Source organism: Homo sapiens, chromosome 19 (genome assembly GCF_000001405.40).
Source record: "Homo sapiens chromosome 19, GRCh38.p14 Primary Assembly".
NCBI lineage: Eukaryota > Metazoa > Chordata > Mammalia > Primates > Hominidae > Homo > Homo sapiens.
In genome coordinates, this window is record NC_000019.10 from 415,249 (window position 1) to 442,325 (window position 27,077).

Sequence of the window (27,077 nt, forward strand, 5' to 3'; positions counted from 1 at the left end):
ATGTGTAGATGGATGGATGGGTGGATTACTGATGGATGTGTAGATAGGGGATGGATGAGTAGGTTACTGATGGATTTATAGATGGATGATGCATGATGGATGGATGGATGATGGATGGATGGTTACTGATAGATTTATAGATGGATGATGTATGATGGGTGGATGGATGGATGAGTGGGTTACTGATGGATGTGTAGATGGGGGATGGATGAATGGGTTACTGATGGATTTATAGATGGATGATGTATGATGGATGGATGGGTGAATGGATGATGGATGGATGGATGATGTATGATGGATGGATGGGTGAATGGATGATGGATGGATGGGTGAATGGATGATGGATGGGTGGGTGAATGGGTTACTGATAGGTTTATAGATGGATGATGGATGATGGGTGAATGGGTTACTGACAGACATGTAGACGGGAGGATGGATGGGTGGCTCTGCCTCCACATCTCGGAAATAAAAGACGTGTCATTGAAGCCCCTTTTGGGTTTGCCTTTGGAAGGCTCCAGTCCTAGTTAAGGACAAACCAGAGTGGCTTTTTCTCCCCACACACACCCTTACTAGACCTGTCCCCCAGGGCAGGGGGTAGGGCCTGCTGTCTGCAGAGAAAGCAGCCAGAGATCCTCGGCCCTTGACAGACATGGCCCTGCAGGGATGTGGAGAGGCTGGGAACCTCTCTCCTGGGAAGATGCTGTGTTTGTGGGAACCTCTCTCCTGGGAAGATGCTGTGTTTGTGGGAACCTCTCTCCTGGGAAGATGCTGTGTTTGTGGGAGGAGCTGGGGGGTCTCTTGGAGCCAGAAGCTCAGATGTAACATGACGGCAGGTCTAAGGAATGGAGCTGGGGTGCTTGAGCACGATGCTGGGCGTCGGGGAAGAGCAGGGGCATCGAGGGGGATGTCCTGGAGAGAAGCTAGGACAACAGGAAAGCCCGGCCCATCTAGGGCCATGCTGGGGGCATCTTGGAGAAGAAAACAACCAGCTCTTGTCTGATGTCCTGGGCTGTCTTGAAAGGCAGAGGTTTGGCATTCGGGTGATAAACTAGGGTGTCTCCAAGGAGGTGAGAGAAGTGTTTAGTGGAGAAGTTGAACTGTGTTTTATCCTGGATAAAACAGAGGTAACCAGAGAGATGCGGGGGCTGCTGGGCAGAGGGGTCACCCCACAATCTGCCAGGTTCGGGCACACGCACAGCCCCGCCTTCCTTCTCTCCAAGTCCAGGCCCTTAGGGAGGCCAAATGTGGTCCCTCTGAGCCCCCTCATCAGCTCTCCACCTGGGAGACTCGTCCCAGCCCCAGCCCCGCGAGGGCCCCCAGATATGCAGGTGGGCTTGTGCTCTTGTGGCCATTCCCAGGTTTAATTACAAACCGATCCGAACATCCCATCTGGGTCGACAGCTGGGAGGGCAGGACTGGGGGGAAGCTGCTGGGCGCAGCCCAGGCCAGGCAACCACGTCCTTCCCCTGCTCCCAGGTGGAGTAGGGGCCTCACGACTGCCTCGATATCCACTGTCTTGGAGCAGCCTGGCTACCCCGAGATCCCAGGTGACCTCAAGGCTGCCTGCACTTCAGCGCCAGCATGTATCCTGGCCTGAGAACCCCAAAGCACCTTAAGCGTCCCCCCTCAAAGACAACTGTGCACCCAGTCCTCAGGTGGGAAGAGGAAGCCCAGCCAGGCCCGGAATCCGCCTCCTCCCCAGGGTCCTGGGAGCCCTGACTCTCCGGGGCGTTAGACCGAACCAGCCAGGCGAGAGGGGGACCCAAGGGCCAGGGCTCCGAGGCAGCGGCTGCTTCTGGATATATTTTCTTTAAAGGCGAAATGGTTCCGTCTTTGGTATGAACACCCTCACTCCAGGCAAAGGAGGGGGTGGGCAGGGGCCCCGGCAGGAGGAGGCTCTGCCCAGCCCGGGGCCAGCTGGAGGAAGGACCATGCCAGAGGCTCATGCGGAGGAAGGAGAGGCAGCGGTGGTTCGGCCTGACCAGGATCCAGGAGGAGGGCTGAGAGCCCCAAGGCCATGACAGGCAGGAGCCGGGGCTGAGAACAGGCAGGAGCCAGGGCTGAGAACGGTCACCTGCGGGCAGAAAGAGAAGGCGAGGTCAGGGCTGAGACGGTGGCCGCAGACCTGGGCTCCGGTGTGAGCCACATGCTCTTCTGCCTTGGCATCATCTCTGCAAGTGCCACACCTCAGGTCCAGCCCAGAGCTCCTCAGGTCGCATGGCTGGGGCTCCGGTGCAGGTGTCCTGAGTCCTTGCTGTGGACCTAGGGCAGTGCCCTAACCTCTCTGCTGTCTCCTCGCGTGCAAGCAAGAATGCCGATCCCAGTGCCTGTCTCAGAACCGAAGGGTTGAGCACATTCCTGGGACAGGGCAACGGCCTCCTGAGCAGGAATCATTACTGCCTTCCAGGTTATTTCTGGGGTCACCAACGCCTTTCCGAGGGGACGCAGGCAGGGACCGGTGCGAACGGAACACAGGAGCCCGTGTGCCACAGGCCGCAGGCAGTTTCAGGTGCTTTACAGGAGCCCCTGCCATACCCGGAGCCCCCTCTGCCTGCAGCCCGAGGCCTGGCTGGGGGCTGGGTGGAGGCCGCGGCCGCATAGGGGAGGGGCCGCCCAGGAGAGAGGAGGCTGGAAGGAGACCGTTGTCATGGGGACAGGAGAGCGGCCTGACCTGGCCCAGAAGCGCAGCCCTTGGGAAATTCCACAGCCCCCTCCCCCTGCCGGCCCTCCCTCCTCCCCGGCTGCTCTCTCAGCCTTCACTCCCTCCAGCCCCACAGCTGCACCCTCTCCTGCCCCAACCTCACCCCAGAGGAGAGACCATGAGATCACCCAGACCTGCCTGTCCCTCCTCCGTCCACACCCTACCATGGGTCCCCCCGGGCCCCGCACCAAAAGTGGAGGCCTGGGGCTCCTTGGCCCGGCCTGAGGTATGGTCTTCTCACTGCCTGGGCTCACACGCCAGCCCCTGCCTGTCCCAGCCCACCGTCCTCTCCGGCAGTGCCCACCCCTCCTCTGGGAAGGAGGCCTGGACACCCAGCACGCCGCAGGGGTCCACAAAGACCAGGTGACGCCCACCACAGCCGACCGCAGTGTCACGGTCATGGCTGCACGCTGCCACCCTCGGGCACATATCCACCCACGGGCAGTGACGCGTGTCCACACACAACCTGCACACAAAGGCTCACGGCGGCCAAAAGGCGGAAGCAGCCCCAGCGTCCATCAGCGGATGAACACACAAAACGTGGTCCCCTCACACAGCGGGACATTATCCAGCCGAGAACAGGAGCCAGGCTCTGGCCCGGGCCACGGCGCAATGCCCCTGGAGGACGTCACGCTCAGTGAGAGACGCCAGACACAGAAGGACACACAGCGTGGAATCCCATTGCTATGAAATGTCCAGGACAGGCCCATCCACAGAGACAGGAGGCGGATGTGTGGGGTTGGAGCTGGGGAGGGGACAGGGAGTGACGGCTGGTGGGGACAGGGCTTCTTTCGGGGCTGACAGAATGTTCTGGAATTCGACAGAGATGGTTGCACGGCTCGGATGCTGAACACCCCTGAGTCGTGCCCTCTAGAGGGAAAGGCACGGCACGTGAACCGGGTCTCAATTTTCAAATCAGAAAAGAATCTGGCAAAGGAGGCAAGGCCAGCGACCCACGGCGGCAGCCACACACCTGGCTCAGGGCTCCCGTGAGACCACGCCACGCAGGTGCAGCTCACTCTCGGCGGCCACGATGGGCTGCCCGTTCTGCAGGTGGTGGTCGATCAGGTGGCTGATGCTCTCAAACAGCACGTCCTTCGTCCGTACCTGCGGGACAGAGACCTCGGCATCAGCTCCCGGGAGCCCGCCTGGACCCGTGGAGTAGGATATTGGCGTTCTGGGGTCCTGCCGGGGAGCCCCTAGGGTGCCTGCATGGACGAGGGGCCGGACCAGGGAATTCCGGGACACCAGCCAAAGGATCGGCCTCAGAATTCCAGAACCACCCATGGGCACGGGCTCTGAAACCCCCAGGGTTCTGGGGCCACGCTTCCTGTCGGGAGCTGAAAGGTGACCGCGGGAAGATGCGGCCAGGTCCCAGCCCTCAGAGCCTGTGAACGTGACCTCATTTGGAAAAAGGTCTTGGTAGATAAACAGGTCAAGGGTCCTGGGACGAATGCATCCAGGATGAGCCAGGGGGGCCCTAAGTCCACTAGCTGCTTTCCTGACAGGAAAAGGAAAACATGCAGATGGGCAGGAGAGAGCAGAGATTGGAGCCGTGTGTCCACGAGGCTGGCAGCACCCGGGAGCCCGGCCACCAGCGGGCGCCGGGAGGGGCCTGGGACCGAGGCTCCCTCAGAGCCTCCGGAAGGAACCAGCCCCGGCCACACCTTGAGTTCGGACTTCTGGCCTCCAGAGCTGTGAGAATGAACCTCTGCTGCTTTAAGCCACTTCGTGTGTGGTCATTTGGTTTGCAGCTCCAGGAAACACACCCCTGAAATCCTGGAGACACAGGCCTGAAAATCTGAATCGCCAAATCAAAATCCAGCTGCATTTTTGAACGAGACCCTCTTAGCGCTACCGAGCGCTGGAACTGGATGCAAAACCAAGAGACCCTGTGTCCCACGGCTGCCGAGCAGCTCCTGAGTGAGGCTGGGGGCCCTGTGCACATTTCACGTGGGAAGCAGGGGTAAATCCACGGCTGCCGAGCAGTTCCCGGGTGAGGCTGGGGGCCCTGTGCACACTTCACGTGCGGAACAGGGACAAATACACATTCCTAGGCCTGTGGCACAATCACGTCCTTCTGTGTGGCACTGGGAATGGGAGCTGGGAATCTGCCTTTTAACAAGGTACTGGTAGACGTTCTGAAGCTTCTCCAGGTGTAGTGGCTGCCGGTCTGACCCCAGCGATCCATTTAACAGAGAAAATCTGGCCTGGGAAAGAACTGAGGTATCACACACCAGGCTAGAGGCTAGGCAGTGGCGGGGACACCAGAAACAGTCTGAGGGGGCTCAGGAACTGGGAGAACAGGCAGCTCTCGCCCAAGCCCTGCCCCCTCCAGCTCTGTCCCAGGCCGGGGTGCACAAGAGCCCCCACCTGCCCGCCCGCCGCCGTGTGCTTCACGCAGAGACCAGGCTCACACCAGCCCAAGAGCCACCTGAGGATTCAGCTGGATGGCTGAAAACGCCTCCTACGCTCTGAGAGGCCTCCGAACCCTCTAGCACCTCCTCACCTGGGAAATAACCTGTGCAGCCCTCGGACGCTCAAAACGCTTCATAAACCCTAGAACTCCTTGTAAATTGGAAAATGCTTTGTAAACCTTTAAATGCTTTAGAAGCTGGAGATTACTAAATCTCATTGGCCCAGAGCAACTGTAAGATGCGCCATGATTTTAGGTACCAGGAGGAGAGAGAAGAGAAAAACCTCCCTGTAAAATAATGATGCACTTCAAATATGCAATTGATGGTTTTTAAACAAAATCCAGACTCTAGAGATATCAAAATTCAGGCGGGGAGAGTGTATATCTTAGAACTGAAGCAGTTAGGCCGGGCGCGGTGGCTCACGCCTGTAATCCCAGCACTTTGGGAGGCTGAGGTGGGTGGATCACAAGGTCAGGAGTTCGAGACCAACCTGGCCAACATGGTGATACCCCGTCTCTACTAAAAATACAAAAATTAGTCAGGCGTGGTGGTGGGCGCCTGTAGTCTCAGCTACTCGGGAGGCTGAGGCAGGAGAATCGCTTGAACCCGGGAAGTGGAGGTTACAGTGAGCTGAGATTGCGCCACTGCACTCCAGCCTGGGTGACAGAGCGAGACTCCATCAAGAAAGAAAGAAAGGAAAGGAAGAAAAGAAGAAAGAAAAGAGAGAGAGAGAAAAGAGTAAGAAAGAAGGGCCGGGCGCAGTGGCTCACGCCTGTAATCCCAGCACTTTGGGAGGCCGAGGCGGGTGGATCACGAGGTCAGAAGTTTGAGAACAGCCTGGCCAATATAGTGAAACCCCATCTCCACTAAAAAAATATGAAAAATTAGCCGGGCGTGGTGGTGGGAACCTGTAATCCTAGGTACTGGGGAAGCTGAGGCGGGAGAATCGCTTGAACGCGGGAGGCGGAGCTTGCAGTGAGCCGAGATTGCGCCATTGCATTCCAGCCGGGGCAACAGTGCGAGACTCCATCAAAAAAAAAAAAAAAAAAAGAAAAGAAAAGAAAAAGAGAGAAAAAAAGGAAAGGAGGGAGGGAGAGAGGGAGGAAGAAGGAATTGAAGCAATTCAGTAACTTGATCCCAAAATTCCTTGTAAATTGAGACATACTTTGTACACCCTCAAATAAATTAGAACCTGAAAATACCATATTTATCCCTCAGATACATCACCATTTGTAAGGTGCATAAGTCATGATAAATGGGGGGGGAGAGCATCTTATGATGGATGAAATCATAAGATTGAGATTACAACTGGGAGGCCAAGGCAGGAGGATCACTTGAGGCCAGGAGCTGGGGACCAGCCTGGGCAACGTGGCAAGGCCCCATCTCTACAAAACTTAGCTGGGGACGGTGGCTCACACCTGTAGTCCCAGCTACTCAGGAGGCTGAGACAGGAGGACCACTTGAGCCCAGGAGTTCGAGGCTGCAGAGAGCTACGACTGTGCCACTGCAGTCCAGCCCGGGTGACAGAGCCAGACTCTGTCTCAAAAATAAACTGGAAAATACTTTGTAATTCTACAGTAGCTGGTCAAAGGCAACATCTGGAACAATCTGGAAAAACTTCATAAACATGGAAAGCTCCTGCATGCCCCGAGACCCTCGAGACCCTTGAGACCCTCCCACCTGTGCCCAGCGAAGCCCCTGGATGCCCCGAGACCCTCCCACCTGTGCCCAGCGAAGCCCCTGGATGCCCCGAGACCCTCCCACCTGTGCACAGCTTACCACGCCCTCGGGGTCCACGAGCAGCAGGTGCTTGGGCTGCCCGGCGTGCATGCCGGTGAGGACATACTGCCCGGGGTTGGTGACGCTGTCTCGCACAAGGAAGTCCCCGTCAGCTCGAAGCATCCTCTCTGCCGCCCGGCGGCTCATCCGGCCGTGGTACCAGGGCTCCTGACGCAGCTGTTCCTCCGTGGGGGCCACAGGGGCCCGGCGGGTAGGGGGGCTGGGCCACTGGTCCTCCAAGGGAAGAGGGGCTGCTGTCACGCCTGCCGCCACTGAGCACTCATGCAACTTCAGGGCATCCTCAAAGGGTCCTGCAGGCCAGGGACAGGAGTGCTGGGCAGGCAGGGGGCAAGCAGCTACTCCTGCCGGGACCAGAGCTGGGAGAAACGGGTTCCCCGGGGAGTCCCTCGTGCACCCGTCGGCCTGCGCTGACCGAGCGCCCACAGCGTATCAGACTCGCACTCTGCCCAGCCCCGTGCGTGCGGTGGGCTCACATGTGTAGCAACCTGGACTCCCCAGGTTGGGTTTTCTAGGCACGTACTAAGCATGTACAAAGGGTAACAGCAGCTCTTTCTTTCAGAGGTTAACTCCTATTTCTTTTTCCTGCCTTGTCAGGTGGGCTTCCTTCCCAAAGCGTACGCCTCTCGTTTCCTTGTCTGGTCTTACTGCATTGGCCGCGGGGCCTCCAATGTGCCCTAAATACTCAAGACGACAGCCGGCACCCCTCTCTTGCCCCTAGCGTTAAAATGTTCTGCCCTGGGTTTTCTAACGGCTTCCAACAATGCCAACATCCGACAGGCCACTCTAAGGCTCTCCTCTGAGTGTCAGTCCCCTCATTGTCAAACAGGGGTGGGCGTGTCCCCAGGCAGAAAGCAGCATGGTTCAGACCCTGCAGTGCTGGAGCCCCAGCCCTGACGGAGATGCATCTACCCGTGGCTGGGGCGGCCTTGAATTCCTCCAGCTCCTGGTCCTGGGGGGTCCTCCCGCCCTGACCCTCACTCCCTGGTCTCCCGCCCCTCCAGCTCCTGGTCCTGGGGGGTCCTCCCGCCCTGACCCTCACTCCCTGGTCTCCCGCCCCTCCAGCTCCTGGTCCTGGGGGGTCCTCCCGCCCTGACCCTCACTCCCTGGTCTCCGGCCCCTCCAGCTCCTGGTCCTGGGGGGTCCTCCCGCCCTGACCCTCACTCCCTGGTCTCCCGCCCCTCCAGCTCCTGGTCCTGGGGGGTCCTCCCGCCCTGACCCTCACTCCCTGGTCTCCCGCCCCTCCAGCTCCTGGTCCTGGGGGGTCCTCCCGCCCTGACCCTCACTCCCTGGTCTCCCGCCCCTCCAGCTCCTGGTCCTGGGGGGTCCTCCCGCCCTGACCCTCGCTCCCTGGTCTCCCGCCCCTCCAGCTCCTGGTCCTGGGGGGTCCTCCCCCCCTGACCCTCACTCCCTGGTCTCCCGCCCCTCCAGCTCCTGGTCCTGGGGGGTCCTCCCGCCCTGACCCTCGCTCCCTGGTCTCCCGCCCCTCCAGCTCCTGGTCCTGGGGGGTCCTCCAGCCCTGACCCTGGGGGCTGAGCCAGCTCCAACTCCTAGCCTGGCCAGTCAGCATGTTCACCTCCCCCTCCCAGCCAGCGACTGGTTTGGGGACGAGCACGTGGCGAATCAGAGGCAGCCCCAGGACTCTTCGTGGAGGACGGACGAGAAGACACCCTTCCTCAACCGGGGCTGCCTGGCAGTCTGGTCACCCTGAGGGACAGCCTGCCTCAGAGGGAAGCTCAGAGCCCCAAGCCCCTCCTTTCCCATCTGAGGGCTGCTGTGAGGAGCCAAGAGGAGCAAGCTCTTCACGTAGTGCTTGGTACACAGCAGGCGCCCACTAGGTGCTAGATGGTGTCATTATTGTGAAGCTGAGGAGAAGCTGCTTTGTCAGGTGGTGGAGGAAAGGGAGAAATTTGCAGTTAGCTTGGGAGGCATCCTGAGCTCAGGCAAGGACCCTACCCGGCAGCTCAGAGCCAACACCTCTCCGTGCTGGAGAAGGGCAGAGTCGAGGCTGCAGGAAATCAGGAGAGAACTCTGGACACCTCAGCCAAGGAAGGACAAGCCTCCTCCGCCCGGCTGGGGGCTCCCTCGGGCTGGGTCATCCACGGGGAAGGAAGGAACGGGCTCACCGTCAGACTAGCCACTTTGTCCAGAGGTGGACTAAGCCTCCCTCATTGGACTGGGCGTTCCTTCAAGCAGGAAGCTGTGCCTCCCCCATCAGGCCGGGATTTCCGTAGGAAGAATCCTCAGACCCCGGAGTCACGTGAAGAGAAAACTCATCAGACTAGGGAGACCCAGAGTCAGCGTGCAAGACCAGCGGGCCAGGCAGTCGTCCCAGCAGGCCGGGATTCCCACAGAGAAAAGACGAGGCCTCCCCTCTCAGACTAAGGAGTCCCATGGGGCGAGGGTCTGGCTTCCCCTGTTGACTGGAGGGCCTCACAGACGGGGCCGCAGCCTCCCACCACACTGACCATTCTTTCAAGGAATGACGAACCTCCTCCCTTCAGACCGGGGGTTCCGACAGAGGCAGGTGGGTTACCCCCGAGAGAGTGGAGCTTCTCACAGAGCGGGGGCCAGCGGCATTCCCAACCAGACTGGGGGTTCAGCAGGGAGGCCCCGGGAGATGGGGTCCTGTAGGAGGGGCTGGGCCTCACCCATTACACTGCTCGGCCGCATTCGCTAGAGAGAATGGGCCTCCCCTGTCAGACTGGCCCCTTTTAAGGCAGAGTCCAGGACACCCCCATCAGACAAGGCCTCCGACAGGAGACAGACTGGGCTTCCCCGTCCCACCCGTCGACTTGAAGGATCTCACGGGGAGAAGGGAGCCTCCCCCATCAGACCAGGGAATCCCGTAGGGAGTGGGGGTGGGGTTGTGCCTCCCCCATCAGACAACACGGCCACACGCGATGACGGCCGCCCCCCAGGCTGCCACATACGCATGTCAAACAGATCCTTTTTGGGGCTGTCCTCCGGCTCGGGGGCGTCCAGACCCTGGGTGTTGACATACAGGTGCTCCTCGTGGTCCGGGGGGCCCCGGGCGTCCGCCTGCACGTAGCCGTCCCCCGGTGGAGCTGGGGAGTGTAAAGAGGGGCAGGGGGTCAGCTGGGAGCCAGGCGAGGGGCTCGCAGGGAGCAAGGCGGGGTCCCACGAGGAGCTCCCCCGGCCACCACCTGTGCTGCTGGCTGCAGGGCGGATGCTGCTCTGGTCTCCCTGTGGTAACCCGCCCGTCTGCAGGTGCCACAGGGAGCATCTTACAGCAGCAAAGCCCCGTCGGGGCTCCAACCAGGGACAAGAGTGGGGCAGCGTGCGGCTGGGGCTGTGGGCACCAGACGTCCACGCCCAGGGAGAAGGCAGCCGCTGCTCCACCCCACCCCGCCCTGGCCCTCCCCGGCCCAGGGTCCAGAGCTTCCCAGTGCGTGTATGTTCAGTCTCCACATTTAAAAATAATCACAGTAACTCTGCTTCCCTGTAATTATGCTATCAACATGACGCACGGAGGGTCACTTATTCTGACTCAGTTCTATTTCAGGATTTTCCTTCCTTTCTTTTTTTAATTGTATTTTGAACGTGTAAAGTGTTTACATGGGGCCGGGCGTGGTGGCTCACGCCTGTAATCCCAGCACTTTGGGAGGCCGAGGTGGGTGAATCATTTGAGGTCAGGAGTTCGAGACCAGCCTGGCCAACATGGTGAAACCCCGTCTCTACTAAAAATGCAAAAATTAGCTAGGCGTGGTGGTGGGCGCCTGCAATCCCAGCTATTTGGGAGGCTGAGGCATGAGAATCACTTGAATTCAGGACGCACAGATTGCAGTGAGCTGAGATTGTGCCATTGCAGTCCAGCCTGGGCAACAGAATGAGACTCAGTCTCCAAAAAAAAAAAAAAAAAACTATCCACATGGTTCAAACCGGAACAGCATCGCAGGTAACCTTGGGGCATCTCCCTCGGGAGCTGCCTGGACCCCATGTGTATTCTGCCAGGTCCTGACCAGACTGCCTCTGCCTTGGAACAGGGTCTGGCTGTGAATCCACATGAACGTGAGGCTGCACTAGCCCTTGCTGGGTGACGAGGGCAGAGGGGCTTCTCCCCCGCCTTCCCAGTCTACCAAGAGGGGCACAGATTCTCTCAGCTTCTTAGGGTCAGGATGGGTGAGAGGGAAGAAACGCAGTTCCAAGAGTCCGGGGAGGGAGGACGACAGTGCGAGAGGCAGAGTCCGGGGAGGGAGGACGACACCGAGAGGGGCAGAGTCCGGGGAGGGAGGACGACACCGAGAGGGGCAGAGTCCGGGGAGGGAGGACGACACCGAGAGAGGCAGAGTCCGGGGAGGGAGGACGACAGCACGAGAGGCAGAGTCCGGGGAGGGAGGACGACACCGAGAGAGGCAGAGTCCGGGGAGGGAGGACGACACCGAGAGGGGCAGAGTCCGGGGAGGGAGGACGACACCGAGAGGGGCAGAGTCCGGGGAGGGAGGACGACACCGAGAGGGGCAGAGTCCGGGGAGGGAGGACGACACCGAGAGGGGCAGAGTCCGGGGAGGGAGGACGACACCGAGAGGGGCAGAGTCCGGGGAGGGAGGACGACACCGAGAGGGGCAGAGTCCGGGGAGGGAGGACGACACCGAGAGGGGCAGAGTCCGGGGAGGGAGGACGACACCGAGAGGGGCAGAGTCCGGGGAGGGAGGACGACAGTGCGAGGGGCAGAGTCCGGGGAGGGAGGACGACAGTGCGAGACGCAGGCGGGTGGAGGAATCCCTGGACCCTGGACCCGCGCTATGGGCACATTTGTAGGAGTTCTTGGCCAGAGAATCGGGAAGGGCATGAGTGCAAGTGAGAACAGCCCGGGTGTGGGCACAGGGGCAGGGAACGCTGGCGAGCCCCCGGTCCGGGGTGAGCAGCCAGCATCCCAGAGGAACGTGCGCCAGGACCAGAGCACAGCTGGGCACCGGGTGGGCACTCGATGGCTCGAGTTTCTCTGACCAGCTCGAGGGCTCTGACGCTTGGCAGCGAAATGCCAGATTGTTTGGGAAGATCTAAAAAAAGCTCAACACAGATGTTAGCAAGGCTGTTAGGAAACAGGCAGCCGCAGGCGGGGCTGGTGGGCGAGCCGACTGCACAGCCGCCTCCAGGGTGGACTGGCACCGCCGGTAACGTGATTAAGGCCGGCGCTCCGTGACCCGGCAGTTCCCGGCTCAGCATGCACTGGAGAGAAGGGCTCGTGGGAACGAGGGGCGCCTGCCGCGGAGCTACCTGAGGGAGCGGGAAGGATCCTCAATGCCCATCAGGAATGGCTTGGGTAAGGGGGAATTGCACACGGCACAGGGAAGGGGAATTGCACACGGCACAGGGAAGGGGAATTGCGCACGGCACAGGGAAGGGGAATTGCGCACGGCACAGGGAAGGGGAATTGCGCACGGCACAGGGAAGGGGGAACTGCACACGGCGCAGGGAAGGGGAATTGCGCACGGCACAGGTAAGGGGACAGGGGACGGCGCACAGCACACGGAAGGGGGCGGCACAGGGAAGGGGGAACTGCACACGGCGCAGGGAAGGGGAATTGCGCACGGCACAGGGAAGGGGGAACTGCACACGGCGCAGGGAAGGGGAATTGCGCACGGCACAGGTAAGGGGACAGGGGACGGCGCACAGCACACGGAAGGGGGCGGCACAGGGAAGGGGGAACTGCACACGGCACAGGGAAGGGGGAACTGCACACGGCACAGAGAAGGGGGAACTGCACACGGCGCAGGGAAGGGGGAACTGCACACGGCACAGGAAAAGGGAGGCCACATGGCACAGGGGAGGGGACGGCACAGGGAAGAGAAATTGCACCCCGCACAGGGAAGGGAGGATCTCTTGAGCCCAGGGCTTTGAGATCAGCCTGGGAAACAGTGAGACCTCACCTCCACACAATTTAAAAATGTGCTGGGTGCAGTGACGCACGCCTGTGGTTCCAGCTACTCTGGAGTGTTAGGAGTGAGGACTGCTTGAGCCTGAGAGGTGGAGGCTTCCGTGAGCCATGATCACACCACTGCCCTCCAACCTGGGCGACAAAGCAAGACGTCTCAAAAACAAAAAGCCAAAGCTCGAAGTGCCCGGTGGGAATGTCGGTTGAGCGGGCAATTACTGATTCCTACTGAAATGGCCCGAGTGCCCCTCCCTGGGACGCGTTTGTTGAGTCCTGGCACACAGGCGGACCGTTTAAGGTCACCACACTGCTGTCTGTCATGGCAAAGGCCTGCAATCAACGCAGATGTCCAGGACCAGGGCGTGAGTGGAATAAATGATGTAACCATGAGGAAGTCTGGCGTGCACAGTGTGGGAAGAACCCCTGATGTTTGCCCCATGGACACAGCAAGGTGGAAGATGGATGGGTAGCACACCCTATCTGCAAAAACAAGGGCTATGACGCACGTTTGAACTGGCTTGAATATCCGTTGAAAAGCTAGGAAAATAACTCAGGAGCCACTGACAGCTAACAGTGGCTGCCTGATCAGGGAGGCAAAGAAAACAGATGCAGACAGGTATGAAAGAGATTGCTCATTGAACGGCTTTTTAAACTCCATGATGTTTTGAACCATGTGGACGAATGCAGTACCTATATCCAACATGCAGAGAAACCTAATACTGTGTGGATGACACAGTATCTACACCCAACGTGCACAGAAACCTAATACTGTGTGGATGACGCAGTACCTATACCCAACATGCACAGAAACCTCATACCGTGTGGATGACGCAGTACCTATATCCCAACATGCACGGAAACCTCATACCGTGTGGATGACGCAGTACCTATACCCAACGTGCACGGAAACCTAACACCGTGTGGATGACGCAGTACCTATATCCAACATGCAAAGAAACCTAATACCGTGTGGATGACGCAGTACCTATATCCCAACATGCACAGAAACCTCATACCGTGTGGATGATGCGGTACCTATACCCAACGTGCACGGAAACCTAACACTGTGTGGATGATGCAGTACCTATATCCAACATGCACAGAAACCTAACACCGTGTGGATGACGCAGTACCTATATCCAACATGCAGAGAAACCTAATACCGTGTGGATGACACAGTACCTATACCCAACATGCACGGAAACCTCATACCGTGTGGATGACGCAGTACCTATACCCAACATGCACGGAAACCTAACACCGTGTGGATGACGCAGTACCTATACCCAACACGCACGGAAACCTAACACCGTGTGGATGACGCAGTACCTATATCCAACATGCAGAGAAACCTAATACCGTGTGGATGACACAGTATCTACACCCAACGTGCACAGAAACCTAATACCGTGTGGATGACGCAGTACCTATACCCAACGTGCACGGAAACCTAACACCGTGTGGATGACGCAGTACCTATATCCAACGTGCACAGAAACCTAACACCGTGTGGATGACGCAGTACCTATACCCAACATGCAGAGAAACCTAATACCGTGTGGATGACACAGTACCTATACCCAACATGCACGGAAATCTCATACCGTGTGGATGACGCAGTACCTATACCCAACATGCACGGAAACCTAACACCGTGTGGATGACGCAGTACCTATACCCAACATGCTCGGAAACCTAACACCGTGTGGATGACGCAGTACCTATACCCAACATGCACGGAAACCTCATACCGTGTGGATGACACAGTACCTATACCCAACACGCACAGAAACCTAACACCGTGTGGATGACGCAGTACCTATATCCAACGTGCAGAGAAACCTAATACCGTGTGGATGACACAGTATCTACACCCAACGTGCACAGAAACCTAATACCATGTGGATGACGCAGTACCTATACCCAACATGCACGGAAACCTAACACCGTGTGGATGACGCAGTACCTATACCCCAACGTGCACGGAAACCTAATACCGTGTGGATGACGCAGTACCTATATCCCAACGTGCACGGAAACCTAATACCGTGTGGATGACGCAGTACCTATATCCCAACATGCACGGAAACCTGATACCGTGTGGATGACGCAGTACCTATACCCCAACGTGCACAGAAACCTAATACCGTGTGGATGACGCAGTATGTATATCCAACGTGCACGGAAACCTAATACCGTGTGGATGACGCAGTACCTATACCCCAACGTGCACAGAAACCTAATACCGTGTGGATGACGCGGCACCTATATCTCAACATGCACAGAGACCTAATACCGTGTGGAAGACGCAGTACCTATATCCAACATGCATGGACACCTAATACCATGTGGATGACACAGTACCTATACCCAACATGCACGGAAACCTAATACCGTGTGGATAATGTAGTACTTATACCCAACATGCAAGGAATCTAGTGTGTGCAGGAAAAACAGACACTGATGATGAAAATCTCAGCAGAGTGTTAGGAGCAAGACGATCTCATAGATTAATGTGAAATAAGCAGAGAGGAGAAAGACTGAGGGGGAGCCAGCACAGGACAGGGCTGAGGAGCCCCAGAATCCTCGTGGGTACCCCTTGCAGCCCCAGCCCATCCTACCTGTACCGGTGGACCCCACGTCCCATGGCAGGCTGCAGGCATCTCTTAGAGAAGGAGATGGGCCCTGGAAACAGAGCAGTGAGAGGTTCCCCGGTGTGTGCAAGCCCCTCTTCCTGGCTCTGGACCCCCAGTCTCCCCGCCCGGCCCTCTTAGATGGCTGGAGACTTAGGGGTGGGGAGCACAGCCCTGGCCCTCCCATTGCTCTCTCACTCTGTAACTAGGCCCCCTGGGTCTGCCGCCCACCTCTGCCGTGGCCTTCCCCGCCTTCTCTCCACCTCGGAAGGTGGTCAGCACATCCTGCCACCTTGCAATGGCTGTTCCCCCTGCCTGGATAACCTTCCCCGCTCTGCTCTCCCAGGCAGCTCCTATTCACCAGTCAGGGCTCTACCCAAATGCCGCTTCCTCAGGGAAGGCCTCCGGACCGCCCTACAGAGTGTATGTCCCCATGGACATCCTCACTGCCTCTCTGGTGGACTTACCAAGGCCCTGATTAAATCATTGCCGTATTTATTTAGTGTCTGAGGGTAGAAGTCATGTCTGAAATGCCACCTCGTCTAATGTGTCCAGAGGAGGCCGGGCAGATAGATGGCGCTTCATCGTGAGTGAGATCGTGAGTGAGAGTTAGAGGAGGCCGGGCAGATAGATGGCGCTTCATCGTGAGTGAGATCGTGAGTGAGAGATAGAGGAGGCCAGGCAGATAGATGGCACTTCATCGTGAGTGAGATCGTGAGTGAGAGTTAGAGGAGGCCGGGCAGATGGCGCTTCATCGTGAGTGAGATCGTGAGTGAGAGATAGAGGAGGCCGGGCAGATGGCGCTTCATCGTGAGTGAGATCGTGAGTGAGAGATAGAGGAGGCCGGGCAGATGGCGCTTCATCGTGAGTGAGATCGTGAGTGAGAGATAGAGGAGGCCGGGCAGATAGATGGCGCTTCATCGTGAGTGAGATCGTGAGTGAGAGATAGAGGAGGCGGGGCAGATAGATGGCGCTTCATCGTGAGTGAGATCGTGAGTGAGAGATAGAGGAGGCCGGGCAGATAGATAGCGCTTCATCGTGAGTGAGATCGTGAGTGAGAGTTAGAGGAGGCCGGGCAGATAGATGGCGCTTCATCGTGAGTGAGATCGTGAGTGAGAGTTAGAGGAGGCCGGGCAGATAGATGGCGCTTCATCGTGAGTGAGATCGTGAGTGAGAGTTAGAGGAGGCCGGGCAGATGGCGCTTCATCGTGAGTGAGATCGTGAGTGAGAGATAGAGGAGGCCAGGCAGATAGATGGCGCTTCATCGTGAGTGAGATCGTGAGTGAGAGATAGAGGAGGCGGGGCAGATAGATGGCGCTTCATCGTGAGTGAGATCGTGAGTGAGAGATAGAGGAGGCCGGGCAGATAGATGGCGCTTCATCGTGAGTGAGATCGTGAGTGAGAGATAGAGGAGGCCGGGCAGATAGATGGCGCTTCATCGTGAGTGAGATCGTGAGTGAGAGATAGAGGAGGCCGGGCAGATACATGGCGCTTCATCGTGAGTGAGATCGTGAGTGAGAGTTAGAGGAGGCCGGGCAGATAGATGGCGCTTCATCGTGAGTGAGATCGTGAGTGAGAGTTAGAGGAGGCCGGGCAGATAGATGGCGCTTCATCGTGAGTGAGATCGTGAGTGAGAGATAGAGGAGGCGGGGCAGATAGATGGCGCTTCATCGTGAGTGAGATCGTGAGTGAGAGTTAGAGGAGGCCGGGCAGATAGATGGCGCTTCATCGTGAGTGAGATCGTGAGTGAGAGATAGAGGAGGCCGGGCAGATAGATGGCGCTTCATCGTGAGTGAGATCGTGAGTGAGAGATAGAGGAGGCCGGGCAGATAGATGGCGCTTCATCGTGAGTGAGATCGTGAGTGAGAGATAGAGGAGGCCGGGCAGATAGATGGCGCTTCATCGTGAGTGAGATCGTGAGTGAGAGATAGAGGAGGCCGGGCAGATAGATGGCGCTTCATCGTGAGTGAGATCGTGAGTGAGAGATAGAGGAGGCCGGGCAGATAGATGGCGCTTCATCGTGAGTGAGATCGTGAGTGAGAGATAGAGGAGGCCGGGCAGATAGATGGCGCTTCATCGTGAGTGAGATCGTGAGTGAGAGATAGAGGAGGCCGGGCAGATAGATGGCGCTTCATCGTGAGTGAGATCGTGAGTGAGAGTTAGAGGAGGCCGGGCAGATAGATGGCGCTTCATCGTGAGTGAGATCGTGAGTGAGAGTTAGAGGAGGCCGGGCAGATGGCGCTTCATCGTGAGTGAGATCGTGAGTGAGAGATAGAGGAGGCCGGGCAGATAGATGGCGCTTCATCGTGAGTGAGATCGTGAGTGAGAGATAGAGGAGGCCAGGCAGATAGATGGCGCTTCATCGTGAGTGAGATCGTGAGTGAGAGATAGAGGAGGCGGGGCAGATAGATGGCGCTTCATCGTGAGTGAGATCGTGAGTGAGAGATAGAGGAGGCCGGGCAGATAGATGGCGCTTCATCGTGAGTGAGATCGTGAGTGAGAGATAGAGGAGGCAGGGCAGATAGATGGCGCTTCATCGTGAGTGAGATCGTGAGTGAGAGTTAGAGGAGGCCGGGCAGATAGATGGCGCTTCATCGTGAGTGAGATCGTGAGTGAGAGATAGAGGAGGCGGGGCAGATAGATGGCGCTTCATCGTGAGTGAGATCGTGAGTGAGAGTTAGAGGAGGCCGGGCAGATAGATGGCGCTTCATCGTGAGTGAGATCGTGAGTGAGAGTTAGAGGAGGCCGGGCAGATGGCGCTTCATCGTGAGTGAGATCGTGAGTGAGAGATAGAGGAGGCCGGGCAGATAGATGGCGCTTCATCGTGAGTGAGATCGTGAGTGAGAGTTAGAGGAGGCCGGGCAGATGGCGCTTCATCGTGAGTGAGATAGTGAGTGAGAGATAGAGGAGGCCGGGCAGATAGATGGCGCTTCATCGTGAGTGAGATAGTGAGTGAGAGATAGAGGAGGCCGGGCAGATAGATGGCGCTTCATCGTGAGTGAGATCGTGAGTGAGAGTTAGAGGAGGCCGGGCAGATAGATGGCGCTTCATCGTGAGTGAGATCGTGAGTGAGAGTTAGAGGAGGCCGGGCAGATAGATGGCGCTTCATCGTGAGTGAGATCGTGAGTGAGAGTTAGAGGAGGCGGGGCAGATAGATGGCGCTTCATCGTGAGTGAGATCGTGAGTGAGAGATAGAGGAGGCGGGGCAGATAGATGGCGCTTCATCGTGAGTGAGATCGTGAGTGAGAGATAGAGGAGGCCGGGCAGATAGATGGCGCTTCATCGTGAGTGAGATCGTGAGTGAGAGATAGAGGAGGCCGGGCAGATAGATGGCGCTTCATCGTGAGTGAGATCGTGAGTGAGAGTTAGAGGAGGCCGGGCAGATAGATGGCGCTTCATCGTGAGTGAGATCGTGAGTGAGAGTTAGAGGAGGCCGGGCAGATGGCGCTTCATCGTGAGTGAGATAGTGAGTGAGAGATAGAGGAGGCCGGGCAGATACACGGCGCCCCATTGTGAGCCTGTGATTGAGTGAGTGAGTGAGATCCTGAGTGAGATCATGAGTGAGTGAGATCATGAGTGAGATCATGAGTGAGTGAGATCATGAGTGAGTGAGATCGTGACTGAGATCATGAGTCTGTGAGTGAGATCATGAGTGAGTGAGATCATGAGATCGTGAGTGAGATGATGAGTCTGAGTGAGATCGTGAGTCTGTGAGTGAGATAGTGAGTGAGACTGAGTGAGATCATGAGTCTGTGAGATAGTGAGCAAGTGAGTGAGATCGTGAGTCTGTGAGTGAGTGAAATCATGAGTGAGATCGTGAGCCTGTGAGATTGTGAGTGAGATTGTGAGTCTGTGAGTAAGTGAAATCATGAGTGAGTGAGTGAGTGAGTCTGAGTGAGAGACCCTCCTCTAGGATCGAGGAGAACAGGAGCAGAAAGAAGAGCTGGAGGTAGGTCCAGGGAACCAGCAGCTGGGGCATCCCTGTCCCCATCCCCCCGAGGGCAGAGGCTGACCTGGTCGAGGGCCGTGAGGGCGCAGGGCTGTGTCAGGGCCAGCCTGGAGTCCACTAGCCCGCCCAGCGGCGGCTCCTTCCCCGGGATGCTGTTGTAGTAATTGTGCTCCAAAGAGTCCTCCTCGTCCCCCCAGGCCGACTCCTCCGGCCCTGCCAGCCTGGGGGACAGACAACAACGGCCATGGCACAGGCAGGGCCCAAGGGGGCTAAAGCCTTACGGCTTGAGCTTCTGGGGGAGCAGGAAATATCTGAGTTCGAATCCCAGCCCCCCACCTGTCACTGAGGGTTCCTACCGGGAAACGCTTCTAGAGCCAGTGACCAGGCCCACTACTTCCTCATCTATAAAATGGAATGTTGCACACATTTCCGAGCTGTAGCACAAAAGGCAGGTCGTTGGCAAACCCAGTCTCCACTCCTTTCTGCCCACCTCCGGCCCCGCCCGGCAGCAGAGGGCATGAGCCAAGTTTATACCCAGAACCAGGACATCACCGGTCAGGGTGGCAACTCTCTGGGATCAAAGCGCCCCCGCCCTCTGGCCCCGATGGCACTGGCAGGAATTGATCCTGCAGGTGCTCCTCAGCAAGCACGGCCCCGAGAGCCAGAGGGGTGCACCCCACCTGGCCCACAGTCGCTGCTGGGATAAATTATGAAGCAGCCTACGGAAGGCAGAGGCAGCTCTGGAGGCAGGCGAGGAGCCCGTCTCAGCTTCGGAGCGTGCTGAGCAACGTGCATCAAGCACGCTGTCCCCGTGCACAAAGGGGTGAGTGTGAGCAGGCGTGCGATGCCGCCTCCCTCGTGACCAGCAGGCTGGGAGCTCATGCACCTGCACCTGCCCTCCCACCATTGGAGGAAGCTGACTTTCTAATGATGAATAGAGACTTAAATAGCTCCTTCTCCAAGGCCAGCTGGCAAACCCCAGCCCAGGGCCAAATCCAGCTCACCGCCTAGATCTGTGTGGCCCACGAGCTAAGAATGGGCTTTCAATCTTTAAATTATCAAAGTTAAGTGTTTGAGAAAACATCTAGAGAATCATATTTTGCAACACGTGGCATTCACACTTCAATGTCTATAAAAAACGTGTTACCAGCACACAGACACGTCCCCCCCTTTACACATGTTCTGCGGTGAGACGGAGGCCGTTTTCTGCCCATTGCGGGAGCCGGCCGCGCGTCTGGAGGAGGGATATTGGTTGTAGCAGCAGGGCTGACAGCCTCAGGCACACCGGGGAGTCAGCTTGCTTAGTCCTCCCCAATCCTGGGGGGCAGGCGGGGATGCGTTTACTCGGGTGTTAACAGCCGAGGAAACAGGATCCTCTGGCTGAGCCATATTCTCACGGGACAGGGAGGGAGGGACAAGGGCAGGACGGAGGCTGAGGCCTGCAGGAGGTGGAGCAGGCTCTGCACCTGGGCAGGTCACTGGGGGTGTCCCCAGGGCACGGGGGAGGCAGCTCTGGTTACCTTTCTGGGGGCAGCGCCACCTTGGGCGGGCTGTGCAGGTACTGCTTGAAGCGCAGCTCGAAAGCTTGGCCCACGGTGCTGATGATGCTCTGTGCCAGGCCCTCACAGCACTCCAGGATGTGGCAGGCTGCGGGCACGTTGGTCATGCAGCCTCCGAGCCACACGGCCGTGCCCCCCAGCCACAGGACCCCCACCGGCCTCCCCGGGGGCCTCACCTCTCTGGTTGATGGGGTCCTTGGCGACGTAGGCCACGTAATCCGTCATGTCCTGGGGGCGGGGAGGGGCCAGCTGGACCTGCCTGGGCCCCCCACCGGGATTCCCAGCTGCCCACCCCAGCAATGCAGAGAGATGGGGCAGTGGATGTGGGCACAGGGTACGTTAGGCGGGCTCTGGGGAAGGATGAGAGGGTCTCGCGGCCGGAGGGGGGCGGCAGGGCTGCAGGTCCACCCCCATCCCTGGCCTCACCGTGTCTCCGCCTGACGCGAAGGAGATGGACGGCATGTGGTGGTTGGCGATGACCTGTGGCGGCAGGAGGCACACGCGGTCATGGGGGCCCCGCTTCGAGGGCAGGGGGCCCGGCAGATGGACCAGGACCACAGCGAAGAGTGGGGCAGGGGCAGGGATGTGGGGATGGAGACGTCTCCTGGACAGGCACCCACTGCAGCCGGGTCCTGGGTCAGCCTGGACGACCGAGGCTGGGATGTGGAGTCCCCAGCAAGGAAGGGACTAGGGCCCTAAGGGATGTGTGGGGTCCGCAGGAGGTCACACGGGAATGTGTGTGAGAGGACAAACCTCCCCCACTGTAACACTTCACACATGTACCTGCCCAGACGCTCACACACACACACCCCAAGCCCCACACACATGCACACACACACACACACCCGAAGCAGCCACGGGAGGGACGGCCCCACACTCCTGACTCCCTTGTCCACGTGCAAGGGCACCTGTGAGTGCATTTGCATGCTTATCTGCATGCTCATTTGTATGCTTGTTTGCCTACTGATCTGCATGCTCGTTTGCATGCTCATCTACTTGCTCGTTTGCGTGGTCATCTGCGTGCTCGTTTGCGAGCTCATCTGCGTGCTCGTTTGCGTGCTCGTCTGCGTGCTCGTCTGTGTGCTCATCTGCGTGCTCGTCTGTGTGCTCATCTGCATGCTCATCTGCGTGCTTGTTTGCATGCTCATCTGTGTGCTTGTTTGTGTGCTCGTCTGCGTGCTTGTTTGCATGCTCATTTGCATGGTCCTGCTTCATTTGCTTCCCGTCACTCAAATCCCTCTAGGCCCCAGTAAGCCCCCGATACCAGCCACGTCCTGAGTCCTCCCTACAGAACATCCACTTCTCAGCCCCCATAGGGACCCTCGAGGCTCTCCCCTTGCCAACCCCGGCCCAGCCAGGAGGGTCTGCTTGGAGCCTCAGTATCCTGTCCATATAGTGGTCAGGGGTCCATGCCTCGCAGGGTGGGGGCAGAGATGGAAATTGCGTGGAAATGGCCCTCAGTCACCCCCCCGCCAGCTCCATCCTTCTCTAGCCTCCTCCCTGGAGCCCCAGCTGCCCCTCACCGCCACCTGCTGCCACCACACCAGCTCAGAGATGCTGTCTCACCCCAAACTCCTCACGATGATCCATGCTAACTTCTCCGACAAGGCGATGCCTCCTCTTTCAGCCACACCTGAGATTCCCCTCCTCACCACCTCCCAGAGCCCTCCAGGAAGTCTCTTCTAGCACCCAGAGCCCAGCACATGCTCAGGACACCCCTCACCTGGCCTCACAATGCTTCCTAAAATCTGTTATTTCCTCTATTTCTGCAATTATAGTTTTTTGTTTTTTGGTTTTTTGAGACAGAGTCTCACTCTGTTGCCCAGGCTGGAGTGCAGTAGTGCAATCTTGGCTCACTGCAACCTCCACTCCCAGGTTCAAGCGATTCTCCTGCCTCAGCCTCCCAAGTAGCTGGGATTACAGGCGCCCACCACCACACCCGGCTAATCTTTGTATTTTTTGTAGAGTCAGCCATGTTGGCCAGGCTGGTCTCGAACTCCTGACCTCAAGTGATCTGCCCACCCCTCAGCCTCCCAAAGTGCTGGGGTTACAGGCGTGAGCCACTGAGCCCGGCCTCACAGTGCTGGGGTTACAGGCGTGAGCAACCAAGCCCGAGCCTGGTCTGCAATTATACTTTTGTTGTTTGTTTCCACTTGAGGACTGATAGCCAGGGTTTATCCCCGCCCCTCCCCAGGCACTGTGGATGTTGGGACGGACCACTCTCTGGGGTGGGGCGTCCTGGCCCCTGCAGGGTGCTGAGCAGCGTCCCTGCCCCCACCCACTCCATGCCAGGAGCGCCCCTGTATCAGGACGGCTCGCCCAGGTGGGAGCCCCTGAGCTGAGCCCCGTGAGGGCAGTGGCTGCACCCCCAGCTCCTGCTCAGCGGGGCCTCGGCTCGTCTTTCTGGATAAACGCCACCTGCTGCCCGCCCCCAGCACCCCACCTGGCTTTGCCTCCTAGGACTCCTGGCCCCTCTGGGGGTCTGGGGACGCCAGGCGAAGAGGGCAGACCCACCTGGCGCGTGGCAGGCACGGAGAGGCTGAGGCCATCAGTGGAGATGTGGATGGAGATGCTCATGCCGGCAAAGCGAAGGTTGCTCTTGCCCAGGACGGACGCCAGGGCCTTGTTGGGGGCCTGAGTTGGGGGCGGAGCACAGCGAGGGCGGCTGTGGGTGGGGGCTGTCGAGGGGCTCCCAGGATGGCCGCAGCGTCCCCACAGCCCCCGACTGCCCCACCAGCCCCACGAGAGACCACAAGCCTCACTCACCTTTTTCTTCCAGGATCCCCGGACGCCAGGCACGGCCTCATGGAGCCGGTTGATGGCTTCCCTGGGGTTGGGAGGAGGGGGCTTAGAGAGTGTGGTGGGGGTGGCCATGGAGGGAGCTGGGGAGGAAGGGGTCAGAGAGGGCGGGGGTCTGGGGAGGGGGCAGGAGCTCAGAGAAGGGCGAGAGAGAGGGGAGAGGAAGGCAGAGAGGGAGGGGTGGGAGAGGATCAGGGGGCCTAAAGTGGGCAGGGAGGGGGCTGGGGAACCTGGGGGAGGAGTGCCCCACAGGACAGGTGCAGCTTGGGCACCAGCCCACTCCACGTGCGTCCTTGCATCCGGCAGAGGCCCGGCCCCCAGCTCTGGCCCCTCTACCACCCTCTTTCCCAGGGACCAGTGTGTCCCTGGCCTCGGCCCACAAGGAAGGCTCGGCATCAGATGTGGGGGTTGGAGCAGCGAGCAGGAGGCCCTGAGCCTGACGCGGGGTCCGTGTCGAGATCCTGTCTGCAGCCTGAGTGGTGGCAGGAGCTGACCCCAAACAAGAGCGCCTCAGACCACTGGTCCCCAGGAGAGGTTAGAAGTCTACAGGGTCCTGAAGGGGCCCCGGAAATGTCGGCGTCACGTGGAGAAACCAGATCCCCCACCCAGGGCATGTGGGAATTTTCACAGCACGGCCACTGTGGAAAACAGCCTGGGGGCTCCTCAAAAGGTTAAAAATTGGCCAGATGCAGCGGCTCCTGCCTGTCATCCTAGCACTGTGGGCCTGACACAAACAAATGCATGCAGGCGCGGCGGCCCCCACCTGTCATCCCAACACTTGGGGAGGCTGAGACGGGCGGATCACCTGAGGTCAGGGGTTCGAGACCGGTCTGACCAACATGGAGAAACCCCGTCTCTACTAAAAACATAAAAACTAGCTGGGTGTGGTGGTGGGCGCCTGTAGTCCCAGCTACTGGGGAGGCTGAGGCAAGAGAAATGCTTGAACCCAGGAGACAGAGGTTGCAGTGAGCCGACACGGTGTCACTGCACTCCAGCCTGGGCAACAGAGTGAGACTCCATCTCAAAAAAAAAAAAAAAAAAGGAGCAAGGCTCTGACCCAGGCCACAGCGCGGACACACCTCGGGAACGCCATGCTCAGTGAGAGACGCCAGACACACGAGGCCACGCAGCGTGTGATCCCATTGCTATGAAATGTCCAGGACAGGCCGATCCACAGAGACAGGGAGGGGATGCGTGGGTGCCGGGGCTGGGGAGGGGACGGGGAGTGGCTGTGATGGGGACGGGGTGTTTTGATGGGGTAATGAGAATGTTCGGAACTAGACAGTGGTGATCGTGTGACTCTGTGAAGAGCCTAAAGTCTCAAACTGTACATTATATCTCACATACGCACGTGTAAACTGTCTCACATGGTTTTTTTAAGTCTATACGAATGGAATCAACCAGTTTTCACAGAAAAAAAGGGTGTCGCTCTCTTCCCTGCTTAAGCCCTGGCCATATCCACAGCCCCTGTGATTGCTTTCCAGACACCGCATAGCATCCTGAGGTCACCGTGTGGAAAACAGAGCAGGGACACGGAGACGCCACTGGGCCCCGGTCCCAGAGGGAACCCGCCAGGCCCTGCACCCCACGCCGTGCGGGGACTTGCCCAGCACCCTGTGAGCGACCGGCGTGTTCTTTCCATCTTAGAGGATCGAGGTCTGCAGGGCACGGTGACCGACACCTGGCGTGGGGACAGGGCGGAGACGTGGCGTGAAGTGGGAGGGAGGTGGGGGGCACCGAGGCTGCGTCCTGGGACCCCAGCGCGGCTGTCGGAGAGCCCATCGCTGCCGCCCTCCAGTGCTGCCGCCCTCCAGTGCGTCACTCAGCCCTACGCGGCCAGGGCAGGGTTGGAGGCTCACCTGGTCACCTGCGTGCGCGTGTTAAAGTCCAGGGAGCGCATAGAGCGGAGAACCTCGATGCAGCCCATGTACTGAGGGGAGAGAACAGGTGTCAGATGCCATCGGAACCCCCGCAGTGGAGCCACGTCCCTTTTCCCAGCAGCCCTTCGCCGCCTCCACCACCCCTGGGGTCGAGCCCTTTCCTCTGTCCCTGGTGGCTCTGGGGCCGTCGTGCCTCCCCCACCTCAAGGCCCAGCCTTGACACTGTCCTGCGAGCCGCCCCCTCTGACTCCAGGCATGTTTTTCTGTGTTGCTGTTTCTCAGGAGCCTGGTGGTTCCCCCAGACGCTCTATGCTGCTTGTTCATTTAACCGTCTTGCCCTCGTCGGTCTCTTTCTGTTCCACCAGCACCGAAGCCGAGGAGCGTGGGGATGGTGCGATCCTGAGCACTTCCCTATCTCCAGCGCCCAGTTCAGGGTCTGGCAAACAGTGGGGCAGACGTCCAGGGCAGCCACAGATGCACACACTGCTGGCCTCGCCCTCCACAGGAAGTTTGCGGGCTTCTGGCCCAGACAGCTGTTTCCATGAAAAGGGAATTCACCATCTCAATGACTGATAATACTGAGGGACGAGAGGGGCAGAGGCGTCCCACCGAGTCCCTGACCTGCTTCAGTGCCGTAAAGGGTGGGGGAACAGGGCCAGGAGGCGAAGGCCACAGCGTCCTTCCAACGTTGGCCCTTGCTGGAGGGAGGGTAAGGGGCACAGCCCACGTCATCTCTATGAAATGTCCTACAGAGGCAGCAAGAGCATGTGTGGGTGCCAGGAGCCGGGGAATGAAGGCTGACACGAACAGGTTTCCTACTGGGGTCATGAGAAATTCTGGAATTAGACAGAAGGGGTGGTGGCACGATATTATGAATGTACGAAATGCTACTGAACTGTGAAAAATGCAACATGCAAAATGATGAATAACGTTATGTGAAGTCCACCTCAGTTTCTTTAAATGATCAACACGCAAACACTTTGACCCTGCAGCTCCATTTTTAGGACTTTACCCCACAGATACATCAGCCTGAGGGCTTCTGAGGTGTGTACAGGTCACTGTGTGGGCCGGCCCAGGCTCTGCCCCTCTCCACGGCTCCATGTACCTGGAGCAGGGAGAGCAAGGAGCAGAGACAGATGTGAGAATGCAGGCAGGAAGCAGAGGCCACAGGACCTGGGCTGTGATGACGGGCAGGGGCTCATCCTGGGCCAGCTGGGGAGCCAGGGAGCACTTAAGCAGGGCATGGACTAAGCAGCCTCACCTCCTGTTGAATGGATGCATGATGGGTGGATGGACTGACAGAAAGATGGCAGGTGGATGGATGAATGAAAGAATGGATGGAAGATGAATAGATGGGTGGGTGAGTGGGTGAACGGATGGATGATGGGTGAGTGGATGATGGATGGATGGGTAGATGGATGGACAGGCAGATGGACAATGAAT

At 58.5% G+C, this 27,077-nt stretch overlaps 1 protein-coding gene across 6 annotated transcripts in view, besides 3 other annotated features; it reads right to left on the reverse strand.

Annotated features, from left to right (window-relative positions):
- Positions 1 to 1,340: 1,340 nt before the first annotated feature.
- The window catches only part of SHC2 (SHC adaptor protein 2), a 44,445-nt gene continuing 18,708 nt past the window's right edge, over positions 1,341 to 27,077 (reverse strand). Inside the window, exons 2-14 of one of the 6 annotated variants that reach the window (XM_011527896.3) lie at positions 26,256 to 26,380; positions 25,837 to 26,167; positions 25,614 to 25,684; positions 23,722 to 23,782; positions 23,470 to 23,589; positions 21,382 to 21,435; positions 21,132 to 21,183; positions 20,917 to 21,043; positions 19,461 to 19,617; positions 15,436 to 15,499; positions 9,849 to 9,983; positions 6,883 to 7,208; positions 6,676 to 6,840 (exon numbers count right to left, since the gene is read on the reverse strand). In XM_011527896.3, coding sequence (XP_011526198.1) covers positions 6,691 to 6,840; positions 6,883 to 7,208; positions 9,849 to 9,983; positions 15,436 to 15,499; positions 19,461 to 19,617; positions 20,917 to 21,043; positions 21,132 to 21,183; positions 21,382 to 21,435; positions 23,470 to 23,589; positions 23,722 to 23,782; positions 25,614 to 25,681 — 1,314 coding nt within the window. In that variant the 5' untranslated portion in view covers positions 25,682 to 25,684; positions 25,837 to 26,167; positions 26,256 to 26,380 and the 3' untranslated portion in view covers positions 6,676 to 6,690. Of the gene's footprint in view, positions 2,075 to 3,674; positions 3,809 to 6,620; positions 6,841 to 6,882; positions 7,209 to 9,848; positions 9,984 to 15,435; positions 15,500 to 19,460; positions 19,618 to 20,916; positions 21,044 to 21,131; positions 21,184 to 21,381; positions 21,436 to 23,469; positions 23,590 to 23,721; positions 23,783 to 25,613; positions 25,685 to 25,836; positions 26,381 to 27,077 lie in introns of those variants that run through there. The other 5 variants (NM_012435.3, XM_047438565.1, NM_001387056.1 and 2 more) reach the window with 5 other exon arrangements.
- Positions 12,519 to 13,096: an enhancer, noted in NCBI's record as "H3K4me1 hESC enhancer chr19:427767-428344 (GRCh37/hg19 assembly coordinates)". NCBI's record gives its function as "activates a minimal SCP1, AML or CMV promoter by ChIP-STARR-seq in primed H9 embryonic stem cells {active_cell/tissue: H9 hESC(primed)}" and the evidence as "EXISTENCE:reporter gene assay evidence [ECO:0000049][PMID:30033119]".
- Positions 13,623 to 14,822: an enhancer, noted in NCBI's record as "BRD4-independent group 4 enhancer chr19:428871-430070 (GRCh37/hg19 assembly coordinates)". NCBI's record gives its function as "activates an origin of replication core promoter dependent on BRD2, P300/CBP, MED14 and CDK7 cofactors, and independent of BRD4, by STARR-seq in HCT116 cells {active_cell/tissue: HCT116}" and the evidence as "EXISTENCE:reporter gene assay evidence [ECO:0000049][PMID:35650434]".
- Positions 20,995 to 21,496: an enhancer, noted in NCBI's record as "H3K4me1 hESC enhancer chr19:436243-436744 (GRCh37/hg19 assembly coordinates)". NCBI's record gives its function as "activates a minimal SCP1, AML or CMV promoter by ChIP-STARR-seq in naive H9 embryonic stem cells {active_cell/tissue: H9 hESC(naive)}" and the evidence as "EXISTENCE:reporter gene assay evidence [ECO:0000049][PMID:30033119]".